At 44.0% G+C, this 15,479-nt stretch overlaps 1 protein-coding gene across 5 annotated transcripts in view; it reads left to right on the top strand.

Moving 5' to 3' along the window:
* The window catches only part of GLG1 (golgi glycoprotein 1), a 159,675-nt gene that overhangs the window by 124,628 nt on the left and 19,568 nt on the right, over window positions 1–15,479 (top strand). For 3 of the 5 annotated variants that reach the window (NM_001145666.2, NM_012201.6, NM_001145667.2), the window contains 8 exons: window positions 2,093–2,246; window positions 4,954–5,091; window positions 7,855–7,941; window positions 10,076–10,138; window positions 11,201–11,314; window positions 12,414–12,502; window positions 13,424–13,541; window positions 14,639–14,731. In NM_001145666.2, coding sequence (NP_001139138.1) covers window positions 2,093–2,246; window positions 4,954–5,091; window positions 7,855–7,941; window positions 10,076–10,138; window positions 11,201–11,314; window positions 12,414–12,502; window positions 13,424–13,541; window positions 14,639–14,731 — 856 coding nt within the window. Of the gene's footprint in view, window positions 1–2,092; window positions 2,247–4,953; window positions 5,092–7,854; window positions 7,942–9,852; window positions 9,962–10,075; window positions 10,139–11,200; window positions 11,315–12,413; window positions 12,503–13,423; window positions 13,542–14,638; window positions 14,732–15,479 lie in introns of all 5 variants that reach the window. The other 2 variants (NR_027264.2, NR_027265.2) reach the window with 2 other exon arrangements.

Raw genomic sequence — 15,479 nt, 5'->3', positions numbered from 1 at the left:
ACAGCCAGAATCACTGAGTTCATTGGCTGTCATTCCCCTCCTCTTTCCGCATCTTGCTTTCTCTCCCCACCTCCAAAGCAGCCAGTGCTGGATCCAACTGCTTCTCTAGCTTTTCAAGTTCAGTGGCTTCTCCATTCGGTTGTTAAGCCACCATGGTGTGGTAGTTAATTTTTTTTGGTGATTAATATATATTTTGGCCAGGCACAGTGGCTCACACCTATAATCCCAGCAGTTTGGGAGGCCTAGGCAGGGGGATAGCTTGAGGCCAGGAGTTTAAGGCCAGCCTGGTCAACATAGCAAGACCTTGTCTCTATAAAAACTAAAAAAAAATCAGCCAGGTATGGTAGTGTGCACCTGTAGTCCTAGCTACCTGAGAGGCTGAAGCAGGAGATTCACTTGAACCGGGCGCGGTGGCTCACGCCTGTAATCCCAGCACTTTGGGAGTCCGAGGTGGGAGGAGAACAAGGGCAGGAGTTCGAGACCATCCTGGCTAACACGGTGAAACCCCATCTCTACTAAAAATACAAAAAAAATTAGCCGGGCGTAGGTGGTGCATGCCTGTAGTCCCAGCTACTCGGGAGGCTGAGGCAGGAGAATGGTGTAAAACCCGGGAGGCGGAGGTTGCCCTGAGCCGATATCGCGCCACTGCCCTCCAGCCTGGGAGACAGAGCGAGACTCCGTCTCAAAAAAAAAAGGAGATTCACTTGAGCCCAGGAGCTGTAGGTTACAGTGAGCTGTGATCATGCCACTGCATGTTAACGGTGAGACCCTATCTCAAAAGACGTGTGTGTGTGCATGTGTTTTGCCCACATACTTTTTCTAGAAAGAGATTACTTGAAGATTCAATATATTCTTATTTCTATTCCTTCAGATTAGCTCTGGAAAGGACTACAGAAAGCTGGGCTGTAATTTCCCTTTGCTTACTCAGGCCATCTCAACCTAAATAGTCTACTGAGTGTATTGCCTTAATCAAAATCACGTTTTCTCCTCTTTAATTCCTTCCCCCATAATAAAAAAAAAAGTGCTGCATAGTTACTCATTAAATATTAGTTCTTAATAGTTACTCATTAAATATTAGCTTTTTTCTCCCATTAACTAGCCATCTACCAAAGTTGACAATATAATATGGACAGAATTAAGCATGCCCTGGTCTGATGTGGAGAAGAAGCAGGCTCATTGTCTAATCCACTGTCTCCAGATTCAGAGTTAAATGTCAAGTCTCATAAATTGATAAGCACACTCAAGTAACCAAAAAGATAACCACCTTACCTGGCACAGGAAGAAGAGAGAAAACTGAATAGGAGACTATTTATCTTGCCATTTCCTGATCTTACTGAATCTAATACATTACATAGGATTGAACTTCATTCCTACTTAGAAAAAGGTATTTAGTAAAAAGTATTAAGTAAAAAGTTGTGAATTGCCTGGTGGTGGCTATAACTCTAGTTTTCTGTTTTCACCCAGGGCATGTGAGTGCTGTCTATTAAAATGTTAGGTATCTAACAAAGCCAAGATATCTTTGAGAGAGACTTTAAATCTTCTGTAGAAGGTTAACAAACTTCTATAGAAAGTTATTCTCCTGCCTAGGCCTCCCACAGTGCTGACTACTGTGTGTTCATTAAGAACAAAATTCACGGCTGGGTGCAGTGCCTTATGCCTGTAATCCCAGCACTTTGAGAGGCCAAGGCAGGCTGATTGCTTGAGCTCAGGAGTTTGAGACCTGCCTGGACAACATGGCGAGACTCTGTTCTACCAAAAATATCAAAAAAGAGCCTGGTGTGTGCCTGTTGCCTCAACTGCTTGGGAGGCTGAGGTGGGAGGATTGCCTTCAAGCCCCGGGGGACGGAGGTTCCAGTGAGTCAAGATAGCACCACTGCACTCCAGCCTGGGTGACAGATTGAGAGATCCTGTGTCAAAAAAAAAAAACAAAAGAACAAAATTCAGGAATATACTTTTACATATCTTCTGTCTCCACGCCCCTGGAAGTGATTATCAATGAGTATACAAGCAAACACCTCATAAAAACCCTGAGCCTGTGTTAGAAGGAAATGTCTATTAATTAGTGGTTATCTTTTAACTCTTAACCTTATAGGCTGGACCCTGTCCTGTACCGCAAGTGCCAGGGAGACGCTTCTCGTCTTTGCCACACCCACGGTTGGAATGAGACCAGTGAATTTATGCCTCAGGGAGCTGTGTTCTCTTGTTTATACAGACACGCCTACCGCACTGAGGAACAGGGAAGGAGGGTATGCAGTGAATATCGACTTCATTTCTTCTTCTTGTCATTTGTTTTTTAAATTGTTTGCTGTATATTCTTCTGATTTCAGTCATATTAGGAAAACTTTTTAGACTATTTTGTGGGGAGAAGATTGCTGCACTTCTAGAAACTTCTTCCTTCCGTGAGTGCACTTAGAGTTGCCCTACCAGCTTCTATCATCTGATTTTATGTTTTTAACAAAGTGGGTGGGGGAAGATTTCCAGATTTTTTTTTTTAATTCCCAAAATCTGAATCACAAATGGACAGTTAAATTCTGCTGTCCTAACTTTATTTAGGTTTAAGGATCCATTAGAAGCTTTTAGCCAGGCTACAAATGGATTTTAGGCTTCTCCTCTTGGCAGCTGAACACATTTGCATTGTCTGCCCATGGACTGGTTGGAGCAGAAACCTCCATACCTCAGTCTCTTGGTATTTGTCTGCCCCAACTGCTGCTTTTTGTTGGGATGTTTGTGTGTGCTGGGGTCTCGGCAGCATCGGCTGCTTCCCGGTGCGCACTGACATGCACTTGTTCTCCACGATGGCTTTCTCTACCTTCTGAGATGCTCCATTATCAGTCCTGCCTTTGTTCCGGAGAGTTGAGATGGTATCACTTCTCATCCATCCTTAGAAATACCCCTTCTGAGCTTAATGCAAAAGCCTGGCTATCTCAAATCCAGAATGAGGGGACTCAGAAGGAAATGGCATACATCAGTTGCTGCTCCCTAACCCAGTGTTTATACTGCTGTGTGAGAAAACGTGGGAATTTGTTTTTTTTTTTTTTTTCTCTCCATATAATGAGCCTCTCATTAACCATGGGGGCTCCCACATCCCGGCATCTTTCTGGTCACTATAGTGACTAGGGGGTAGGAGGTTTATTCTCTTTTAAATAAGAAAGAGTTGGAGTCTGTGGTGCTGGTTTTCTTTTCTTTTTTTTTTTAAATTGAGGTGAAATTCACATAACATAAAATTAACCTTTTTTTTTTTTTTTTTTGAGACAAAGCCTCACTCTTGAATGTGTCTCACTGCACCCCAGGCTGGAGTGCAGTGGTGTGATCTTGGCTCACTGCAACCTCTTCCTCCTGGCTCAAGTGATTCTCCTGCCTCAGCCTCCCGAGTAGCTGGGATTACGGGTGCCTGCCGTCATGCCTGGCTTTTTTTTTTTTTTTTTTTTTTTTTTTGGATTTTTAATAGAGACGGGGTTTCTCCATGTTGGCCAGGTTGGTCTTGAACTCCTGACCTCAGGTGATCCACTCACCTGGGCCTCCCAAAGTGCTGGGATTAGAGGTGTGAGCCACTGCGCCTGGCCAAAATAACCCCCCCCTTTTTTTTTTTTTTGAGACGGAGTTTCACTCTTGTTGGCCCAGGCTGGAGTGCAGTGGTGTGATCTCGGCTCACCACAATCTCCGCCTCCTGCCTCACCCTCCAGATTAGCTGGGATTACAGGCATGCGCCACTACGCCCGGCTAATTTTTGTATTTTTAGTAGAGATGGGGTTTCTCCATATTGGTCAGGCTGGTCTCGAACTCCAGACCTCAGGTGATCTGCCCGCCTCAGCCTCCCAAAGAGCTGGGATTACAGGTGTGAGCCACCGCTCCTGGTCTTAACCATTTTAAAGAGAAAAATTCAGTGACATTTAGTACATTTACAGTGTTGTGTGGTCATCATGTCTGTCTAGTTTCAAAACACTCCATGACTCCAAAAGGAAACCCTGTGTTCATTAAACAGTTACTTTCCATCCCTCCTGCCCCAGGTATGCTGGCTTTTTTTTCTTTTTTTGCAAGAGAGACTAACTGTATCTGTCAATAACAGCTTTGTCATGGCCCTTGGAAAAATACTAGTTTTCACCTGCTTTACCCTCTGCTAATTCTTCATAGCTCATCTAGAAGAGTCCAGTCCTATCTCATAATGTTATATCTACATTTTCCTGCTTTTTCTGATTTAGGTCAATTTGAACTCATTTCTCCTGAGTCAAGTGTATATGCTCTCTTGAATTGGATCTGACCTTCTACCTGGTGTTCATAGACTGACACATTAGTTTTGCTAAGCAAAACAACAAACACAAAACTTTCCAACTAACCTAGTCTGAATGAAGCCAGTTCACTTTTATCAGGATACTGTCATAAAAGAATGTTGTTTATATAGTATATTAGAAACTGCTGAATATGTATAATCGCATTGCTAAAGATATGGGCTTTTCGAAGCCTCTTGCACATTTTATTTATTTATTTATTTATTTATTTATTTATTTATTTTTTTGAGACGGAGTTTCGCTCTTGTTGCCCAGGCTGGAGTGCAGTAGTGCAATCTCAGCTCACCACAATGTCCACCTCCCGGGTTCAAGCGATTCTTCTGCCTCAGCCTCCCGAGTAGCTAGGATTACAGGCATGTGCCACCATGCCTGGCTAATTTTGTGTGTTTAGTAGAGACAGGGTTTCTCCATGTAGGTCAGGCTGGTCTCAAACTCCCGACCTCAGGTGATCCGCCCGCCTCGACCTCCCAAAGTGCTGGGATTACATGCGTGAGCCACCGCACCTGGCCGCAACATTTAATTTTTATTCTGGAAGATATTTGAGGTATAAAATTTGGGAGATAAAATACAGGGTTATTTGTTAGTTTCCTCATAGCAGGTTTATCTCATATCTTTGTGTTTTTGTTTTGTTACCTTTCAAGTATTTAGCTCATTTTTTCTCATGCAGCTCTCACGGGAGTGCCGAGCTGAAGTCCAAAGGATCCTACACCAGCGTGCCATGGATGTCAAGCTGGATCCTGCCCTCCAGGATAAGTGCCTGATTGATCTGGGAAAATGGTGCAGTGAGAAAACAGAGACTGGACAGGTAGGTGACATCGCTTTCTGTTTGTCTTACAATAATGATGATGTTAATGTTTAACATTTTATGCAGAGTACAAACACCATAAAATCCATCTCTCTTTACCTTACAGATGTGATTTGTTGTATTGTTCAATATTTTCTCTGGAAGAAATTCTCAGGAAAATTTTCTCTCTGGTCTTTGTATCAGGAATAGTTGGCAGTGAGTTTGTGTTTGCATTATAGTTATTGTATTTTGTAATTGATTATTTTCCCTCTTCCTGTTGCTTATTAAAACTTCTAGAGCCAATGGTATGGCCTGCCTCTTACAGGTATATAAGATTTCATGGTAGGCATTTTTGTAGAAAGCTTACTACTGGCTCCATTTCACATCCTCTTTCCTTTCCTTTTTGTTTCTCTTCTTTATTCATTTTACTCATTTTTAATTCATTTTCTCCATTAAGTCCTTTTGAGATAAGCAGGGTGTAAATCTGTGCGTATGTGAGTACTGGTCTGCATGAATAGTGGGCATGCCCTAGAACAGTCCCAAAAAACATGTAGAAATGGAATTTTTTCTCACCTGGTTGACAAATTGAAGCTCAGAGAAGTTAAGTGTATACATTCCCTTACCTAAAATTCAGTTCAGTTCATTATATAGCCTCTCCATCTAGGAAGCAGAGGGAAGGAGCAGCCCCCAAAAATTCCCTGAGTGCTGTGATTGGCTCCTTAGGATTGTGTCCCAGTTTAAGGGAAAGAAGGAAAGATGCATGACTGCAGGTCATGTGGGAAGCTAGCTGTCTTCCATCTGAATGCAGGATACTCAGCAGTAGGAATACTGCGTGTTTAAAGCCACATAAATAAGGAGTGAACTCAGGTTTCTGGGTTCCATTTGTACCACTACAAAACCCCCTCTGGAAGTACAGTATGAAAAAGTCACACGTACAGGAATTGGACATTTTAAAGGAGAAACATGGTTGCCTACTCAGGTCTGTTGAGCATAGGACTATCATGTTCAGCAGTCTGTTTCCTGAGCCTGCTACAGTTCTGTTGGGTATATTGTTAGAAAATGCTTATAGTTGAGCTTTCTGTTGCCTCTGTCCAATGAAACAAGGGATATGGTGATTTGGAATCCCAGAAAATAGTTTCCTTTAGAACCCCGAGTAAAGTAAACTTTAGAAAGCTGCACTACATTGCAGCCCGTCATGGAGAAGCTAAACTTAAGAATTCTTTTTTTTTTTTATTTTGAGACAGTTTCACTTTGTCACCCATGCTGGAGTGCAGTGGCACGATCTCGGCTCACTGCAACCTCTGCCTCCCGGGTTCAAGCAATTCTTGTGCCCCAGACTCCTTAGTAACTGGGATTACAGGCACCTGCCACCACACCCACCTGATTTTTTGTATTTTAGTAGAGACAGGGTTTCACCATGTTACCCATGCTGGTCTCTAACTCCTGAGCTCAGGCAATCCACCTGTCTTGGCCTCCCAAAGTGCTAGGATTACAGGTGTGAGCCACTGAGACCAGCCAGGATTCTATTAATAGGATGTTTCTCTTAGCCATTTATTTTACTCCCAAAAGTTTGGGGTATTTTCCTTTAGCTTTTTTATTTCTTCTTCTTCTTCCATTCTGGCTGTTGTATAATTCCTACAACTCCTCTCTTCCCCTCACATTCTAATTCTGAAACAGAGAGATTCTTGCAGAATAGTAAGTTAAACTTGATCCTTTAACAGAGCACTTTGCTAAGAAATAGCTGTTGATATGCTTTGTGAAAGTGAGCTGATATTATACTTGAAACCTCTAAACCTGTAAACCTCTAGAAGGAATAGTAATAGACTAATGCTACAGATAGCTCCAGCTCGGTTTCCAAAGCCCACACAAGATAGCTTTTAAGTACCCAAACCCTAGTGTGTTCACTTGTTTTTCTTCAGAGGACCCTTTTGATGTGTACTGGAGTTAGAATCCCAGATCTGACTTGCAGGAGCTATCAGTTGTATCCTGTGTTCCAGACCCCTGGTTCCCAATTACTTTGCCAATAAAGAGTCTTAAAATAATCTGTGCTCTTCACTGTGAATTTGTCTGATGATCATTATTAAAGTGCATATTTAAAATGAGAGATGAGAAATTATCAAAGCACAGATTGAAAATAGAATCAAGGCCTGATAAGGTTTTTAGACTTTGAGGACACTTGAAGATTGATTCTCCTTGCACTTGTAGATTTGGTCTTCTGAGGGATTTGCACAGCTCTTTTTTTTTTTTTTTTTTTTTTTTGAGACGGAGTTTCACTCTTGTTGCCCAGGCTGCAGTGCAGTGGCACGATCCTGGCTTACTGCAGCCCCCGCCTCCTGGGTTCAAGCAATTCTCCTGCCTTAGCCTCCTGAGTTGCTGGGATTACAGGCACCCACCACCACACCCGGGTAATTTTTGTATTTTTAGTAGGGATGGGGTTTCACTGTGTTGGCCAGGCTGGTCTCGAACTCCTGACCCCAGGTGATCTGCCCACTTCAGCCTCCCAAAGTGCTGGGATCAAAGGTGTGAGCCATCATGCCCAGCCTTTGCATGGCTCTTGTGCCCACTTGGCCCTCATAACCAACCTGCTACATGAAGTAATTATCTTTTCAACAATCTCAGTCTGGGGAATTAAACAAAGCTTTTGTGTCCTGTTCAGTGAGGTAATTTTAAAAAGAAGAGAAAGGAGGACCACTGAAAAGGGAAGTGTCATGACGCTGATATCTCCCCTTGCCTTGTTCATGTATGTGACTGATAAATGCCAGTGGCTTGCCTTTATATTTGCAGGAGCTGGAGTGCCTTCAGGACCATCTGGATGACTTGGTGGTGGAGTGTAGAGATATAGTTGGCAACCTCACTGAGTTAGAATCAGAGGTAAGTGGTATGCAGCTTACTCATTGGAGGAGAGTGGCTGCCAGCATCCTGGCCTTTTGTGTTTGATTCTACTGTTTCTAGACTCCTGAGAGTGCAGATTTTCTGTCAATCAAAAGAAACCTGATCAAATTTTCCATGTTTGCTTTATAAAGAAGTATATTGTGTTGCTTTGTGAGCTCCTTCCCTCATTTCTCTAGAACAACACTCTATACAGCCCTTTGGTTTTCTTCATAAATTAGGTTTATCATAGTCATTAGACTTGCCTCTGTTTCTCCCTTAAGATAGCAGCTGTACGGCCGGGAGCGGTGGCTCACGCCTTGAATCCCAGCACTTTGAGAGGCCGAGGCAGGCGGATCTCGAGGTCAGGAGTTCGAGACCAGCTTGCCAAACATAGTGAAACCCCGTCTCTACTAAAAATACAAAAATTAGCTGGGTGTGGTGAAACACGCCTGTAGTGCCACGTACTTGGGAGGCTGAGGCAGGAGAATCACTTGAACCCGGGAGGCGGAGGTTGCAGTAAGCCTAGATTGCGCCACTGTACTCCAGCCTGGGCAACAGAGTGGGAGACTGTGTTTCAAAAAAAAAAAAAAAATAGCAGCAGTACTTCACATCACAGTCACATTCAAGAGCAATCTACACATTCCCGTTCTCTCATCCCTCGCTCTTTTAGTTAGGTCATTTGGTAATGTTTGTGTGTTTCAGAACATAAAAGCTGAGGACTTCCAGCTAAGCATGGAAGATTGAATACGTATGTTTATCCCTGTTCCATCCTGAAACCCACTAAAATATTTTAAAAATGGGATTAGAGGCCAGGTGCAGTGGCTCACACCTGTAATCCCAGCACTTTGGGAGGCGAGGCGGGCGGATCACAAGGTCAGGAGATCGAGACCATCCTGGCTAACACGGTGAAACCCCGTCTGTACTAAAAATACAAAAAAATTAGTCAGGTGTGGTGGCGGGTGCCTGTAGTCCCAGCTACTCGGGAGGCTGAGGCAGGAGAGTGGCGTGAACCCGGGAGGCGGAGCTTCCAGTGAGCCGAGATCACGCCACTGCACTCCAGCCCGAGCAACAGAGCGAGACTCTATGTCTCAAAAAAAAAAAAAAAAAAGGTCAAGACCATCCTGGCCAACATGGTGAAACCCCGTTTCTACTAAAAATACAAAAATTAGCTGGGCGTGGTAAAACATGCCTGTAGTGCCAGGTACTTGGGAGGCTGAGGCAGGAGGATCACTTGAACCCGGGAGGCGGAGGTTGCAGTGAGCCGAGATTGCACCATTGCACTCCCGCCTGGGCCACAGAGCCAGACTCCGTCTCAATAAAAAGAAAAAAAAAAAGGGGGATTAGAAACCCTCATAAAGCACTGGGATGTTATTTAGAAATACAGAGGAGGGCAGCTAAACATGTTAAAGTTATTTTGTGGGGCCAGAAATCAGAGAAGTGGGGAACTACCATTTTGTCTTAAACCTTTTAGTACTCTATTTGAATTGTCATAATGTAAAATTACGTTTCTCAACCAGTTCTTTTTTGCTTTCTAGTTTTCAGAAGTTCATTGCCTTCTCTCATTTCGTCGTCATCTCTCACATTATCATTGTCATCATGGACTTATGAGAGCAGTCTGGGTGTATAGCTCTTTAAAGGAAGGTGTTTTTTCAGGAGCTAGTGTTGCACGGGTTTCTCTCTTTAAAGGCATTATTAGTATGTGTTCCCCAGTAACAGTGGTTTGGCATCTGCTTTGAGGGCAGTGCTCTGGCTTATGAGCTTATAAACTGAAGATGGATATCAGTTACCCCTGTTTTCATTTTGAACTACTTAGCATTTTGGGAAAATCTGCAAAGGCTTTGCATACTCTAATGTTATTGCTACATGTGTTTTTACCTCACTTTTCTTAATTCTGCCTTCTCATTTGTTCAGGCCGAAAGGGAATATGTCTTTAAAAATTTGCCTTTCAAAGTATAACGGAGGAGCAGTTCTATATTTATTCTGGGGCTATCTACTTCAAATACTAGAATCGTTTCCAAAAGTATGTATTAGATTATTTGCCCATCAGATATTACTGATTCAGAAAGAGAAACTGCTCCTCCTCCACCCTGGCTCTTTCTAAAGCAGAAGTATTAATATATTTAATTTTCTACAGGATATTCAAATAGAAGCCTTGCTGATGAGAGCCTGTGAGCCCATAATTCAGAACTTCTGCCACGTAAGTGATGTCTGGAGGAGCAAGGGTTAAAAACAGAAACAAATTGACAGGGACTCTCCCCTGAGTATCTCAGACTCACCTCTGTCTGCAGCATGTATTACTCTTGAGTGTTAGCCAGCTTTGACAAGTTAAAATTAAAAATGTAAACAGGCCGGGTGTGGTGACCAATACCTGTAATCCCAGCACTTTGAAGCCAAGGAGGAGCACTTGAGCCCAGGATTTCAAGACCAGCCTGGGCAACATGGCAAAACTCTGTCTCTACAAAAAATAGAAAAAATTAGCTGGGCGTGGTGGTACACACCTGTAGTTCCAGTTACCTAGGGGGCAGAGGTGGGAGGATCACTTGAGCTCAGGAGGTCGAGGCTGCAGTGAGCCGTGATTGTGCCACTGCACTCCAGCCTAAGCAACAGAGTGAGACCCTGTCTAAAAAAGAAAAAGTAAACAAGATCGAGAGAGAGATGCTACCATCCTGGAACCTGTGTTTGATTAGCTTTTGTAGGTAAAAACAGGTATGTGGCCAGCAGCAGTTACTGAGTTGCCCTTTTTAAGAAGAGATGGAACAGGGAAACCCCCATTAGTATGCAGGGTTGATTCCAGTACATCAGCCTAGGAATTGTTAGCATCTGCCCAGGAATTGTTAGCAGTAATAGTGGCTCCTTCTTCCAACTGTCTCCTAGTACCTCAATATTGAGTGAATTCTGACTATTTCATATTCATTTACTGAACTATTTAAATTGTGGGAGTGAAACATACCCAGGAACCATTAGGATCTGACAGTTGGGAGGCTATGTTAGATATTGTCCCAAAAGCCAGCTGCTTTTCGGAAAGTGAAAAAAAAAGCGTATATCATGTCTTATACGGAACACAGTGCTGTGTTAGTTTTATGCCACTGAATGTATACCATTGTGATTCTTCAGGCTTATTTTGATTACAATTTATGGTGTGTCTTTTTTTTGTGAGGGCTTCTAGAACTAACCTTGCTTGCATTTGTTTCGGACTGGGCTACAAGTTTTGTTCATTAATTGTTACCAATGAAGTGTAAATGCATGCTGTCTTCCCCAGGATGTGGCAGATAACCAGATAGACTCTGGGGACCTGATGGAGTGTCTGATACAGAACAAACACCAGAAGGACATGAACGAGAAGTGTGCCATCGGAGTTACCCACTTCCAGCTGGTCAGTGACACCTGGCTGCCAATATCCCATCATAGCTGCCTGGATGTTGACTGAATCCTTTCCTTTTTTGGAACATCAGAGCACCTCTGATGTTCTGTTAAAAGTCATTTTTTTCCAGCCAGGCGTGGTGGCTCACACCTGTAATCCCAGCACTTTGGGAGGCTGAGGTGGGTGGATCACTTGAGGCCAGGAGTTCAAGACCAACCTGAGCAACATGGTGAAACTCCGTCTCTACTGAAAATACAAAATTAGCCAGGCATGGTGGCACACACCTGTAATCCCAGCTGTTTCAAAGGCTGAGGCAGGAGAATTGCTTGAACCTGGGAGGCGGAGGTTGTAGTGAGCCGAGATCGCCACTGCGCTCCAGCCTGGGCAACAGAGCAAGATTCCATCTCAACAGCAACAACAAAAAAATCATTTTTTCCAGCCGGGCATGGTGGCTCACGCCTGTAATTCCAGCACTTTGGGAGGCTGTGGCAGGCTGATCACCTGAGGTCAGGAACTCGAGACCAACCTGGCTAACATGGTGAAACCCTGTCTCTACAAAAAATACAAAATTAGCCTGGCGTGATGGCGGGTGCCTGTAATCCCAGCTACTCGGGAGACTGAGGCAGGAGAATCACTTGAACCCGGGAGGCAGAGGTTGCAGTGAGCCGAGATCGCACAACTGCACTCCAGCCTGGATGACAAGAGAGAGGCTCTGTCAAAAAAAAAAAAAAAAAAAAATTACAAATATATGTCCTATTTTTATTTAGGATGGATGGATGGAAGGAGGGAGGGAAGGAAGGAAGGAGGGAGGGAAGGAAGGAAGGAGGGAAGGAAGGAAGGAGGGAAGGAAAGAAGGAAAGGAAGGAAGGAGGGAGGGAGGGAAGGAAGGAAGGAAAGGAAGGAAGGAGGGAGGGAGGGAAGGAAGGAAGGAAGCCTGCCTGTTGTAGGGGGAGTACTGGAGAGATGAGCAGGTCGTGATGTCTCACGTGTGGGTCAAGCCATGCAGGGTCTTGTAAACAGGCTTGTGAGAGCTATATGAAAAAGTGCGCCCTACCACTACTGACCACAAGTTGCCACAAAACTTCTGACTTTCTTTCTCTTTACCTTTCAGGTGCAGATGAAGGATTTTCGGTTTTCTTACAAGTTTAAAATGGCCTGCAAGGAGGACGTGTTGAAGCTTTGCCCAAACATAAAAAAGAAGTATGTAGCTTGTAGTTGTTTCATTCCACTTTCCCGAAGTTCCTCTTAGCTCCGGAATGAGTATGCGAGATGTTAGGCAGCCCTCCTGCTGCCTCGTGGGGTTAGCCCTGGAGGCCTCCCGCATCTCTCCTTTGATTAGCGTGGCAAACACTCGGACTGTCTGGACAGAGCATCTGGCGATGGTAGTTCTCACATGGAGGTCCCATAGGCTAAAGGAGCATTTTTAATTTTTCCAGGTCAGGCCATCTAACTGACCAAGTAGGGCTGGATTGTGTACTTAGAGAAGCAGGGTGCAGTGTGAGTGAAAGAGGCGAACTGACCTCTTCCCTGCGTCGTCCCGTTATGTCATCTCATCTAAGATGCAGCAGTTTTTGTATTGGATTAGATATTTAGTGAAGAAACAGAATCTTTATTCATTTAAGAATTAAGTCTTTTTGAGGAAACTGATGAGCTTTTTCAGCGTGACTGTCCAAATTCTTCCATGTTGCTCTTTGAAAGGACCATTTCTAGAACACTTGCCCTCATACAAACCAAATTCCCAATTTGCTCAGGTTTCTCTACCTTTCAGGAGTGAGTTTCACAGTAGGTCAAAAGTACAGTCCTAGAGTTAAGAGCAGCATTCCTCTGTGGTCACATGTTTTTAACACAGATGTTGAACTGTCGTTGCACACATGTGCCCTGTGTGGCTTCCCCTTCTGTCAGGAATGTAGTCAGCATTCATGCTGCTGCCTGCCTTTCATGACACCCACAGTCAAATTGCAGCTTTTAGCACCCTGAAAAAAAATACAGTGAGCCTTACAGGAAAGACATTCCCCCAAAGGGCATCTTGAATTCTTAATGGTGTGACCCCCCCCAAGCCCAGCTCTCAGGCCATCTGCCCTTGTGTGGCCCCAGCCAGCCTCAAGCTTCTTTCGTCTGCAGGGTGGACGTGGTGATCTGCCTGAGCACGACCGTGCGCAATGACACTCTGCAGGAAGCCAAGGAGCACAGGGTGTCCCTGAAGTGCCGCAGGCAGCTCCGTGTGGAGGAGCTGGAGATGGTAATGCCTCCCAGCCTCTGCTCCCAGAAACCACAGTGGGCCAGGGCTTGGAAAGCTGGGGAGAGGCTAGGGCAAGGGGGAGGCATTTTATCCACTACTGTGATGGTTAAGACTTGAAGTCCTGTGCAAAAGTTTTAACATACGACCATTAGCTTCCTGTGTCATTCTTTTGATTTTGAATGATAAAACCTTTCTTCCCACATGTAACTGGAAGTCCAGCTGTAAGACAGGCTCTAACTAAGCATGTGATCCAATCACTGGATCAGTAATGTCCTCAGGGGCTGGGTGCTGTGGCTCATGCAGGTAATCCCAGCACTTTGGGAGGCCGAGGCAGGTGGATCGCTTGAGGTCAGGAGTTCAAAACCAGCCTGGCCAACGTGATGAAACCCTGCCTGTACTAAAAGAGACTTAGGCCAGCGAGGTGGCTCATGCCTGTAATTCCAGCACTTTGGGAGGCAAATGCGGTCAAATCACTTGAGGTCTGTAATTCAAGACCAGCCTGGCCAACATGGCGACACCCCATCTCTACTAAAAATACAAAATTTAGCCAGCTGTGGTGGCACATACCTGTAATCCCAGCTACTTGAGAGACTGAGGCAGGAGAATCACTTGAACCGGGAGATGGAGTTTGCAGTGAGCCGAGATGGTGCCACTGTACTCCAGCCTGGGTGACAGAGCAAGACTCTGTCTCCAAAAAAAAAAAAAAAAAAAAAAAAAAAGACATTTCAAGCTGGAAGATTTGGTTCCCTAACTTTGAGCCTAGCTCTTTCATTAAAGTAATAATAAAAGTAGAACTCTACATTTATATAATGGTTTTGACTTTCCAAAGTGATTTTCACATCTCAGCAGTCCTGTGAAGGACTAAATAAGGTGTTTCAGGGTAGACTTGGCATTGTGTTTTGCAAAGAAGGTCCAAGGCCATGCAGCTATTTGGTGACAGAATTGAAAGTAAAGCCTGATTCTCTTGCTGCAAGGCGACTTTGCTATGTAGAAGCCAGGGTCACTAGACAAGATGCAGTCAACAAATAAGTCTCCAGAACATATGACATCTCCAGCCTAAACCAAGCTCACCTTTCCATGCTGGCTCCCTCATGCAGACGGAGGACATCCGCTTGGAGCCAGATCTATACGAAGCCTGCAAGAGTGACATCAAAAACTTCTGTTCCGCTGTGCAATATGGCAACGCTCAGGTAACTTTTTGCTTTTCTTTTGTAATTGTAAAAGTAATGTGAAGGTAATATTTAATGTTTTCTCAAAAGCTAGTGCCCATAAGGTAACATTTTAGTCATGAATTTTTTGCTGGTGAGACAGGACCCATCTCATCCCTTCCAACCTAATCCCTTCTTAAACTACATCAGGCTGCGTTTCCTTGGGTTCTTCACCTGCACTCCTCTCTAACTCATTTTCTTCCCTCTTTCAGGTTACCTCATCCTTCCCTACCTTGTCTGCCTAGTAAGCTCCTAATGATCCTTCAGATGCCTCCTCCTCTGTAGCATTCTCAATGCTCTGCACCTCCAAAATTAACCGTTACTTCACTGTGTTCCCATTGCACAGAAGTTCTTAACTAGACGTCACATCAGAATCACCTAGGACACTTTTTTTTAATAGACAGAAGCAGGACCCTATCCAGAATTGTCAGGAGTGAAGTACATACAAACAAATGATTTTTAAAAAAATGTTCTCGTTACTACTCGGCTACCTCTTCTAGTTAAGGGCATTGCCATGGGGCTTCAGCCTTTGAGATAATTACTTCATTGTCCTCTTGTATCAGACTGTTGCTGATGCAAAGTCTGATGTCAATATAAGTCTCATTGCTTTGTAGTTAATCTGTTTCTGATAGGTTTTAGAGTCTTCTCTTTGTCTGTAATGATCTGTAGTTTCAGTGTGATGTGGTTAGGTATGGTTTTTGTTTTGTGTGTGTTTCCGGTTGGCTCTTTC

The sequence above is a fragment of the Homo sapiens genome, chromosome 16 (assembly GCF_000001405.40).
Source record: "Homo sapiens chromosome 16, GRCh38.p14 Primary Assembly".
Taxonomy (NCBI): domain Eukaryota; kingdom Metazoa; phylum Chordata; class Mammalia; order Primates; family Hominidae; genus Homo; species Homo sapiens.
The sequence above is the reverse complement of the archived record's forward strand: the minus strand, read 5'-3'. Positions and strand labels throughout refer to the sequence as shown.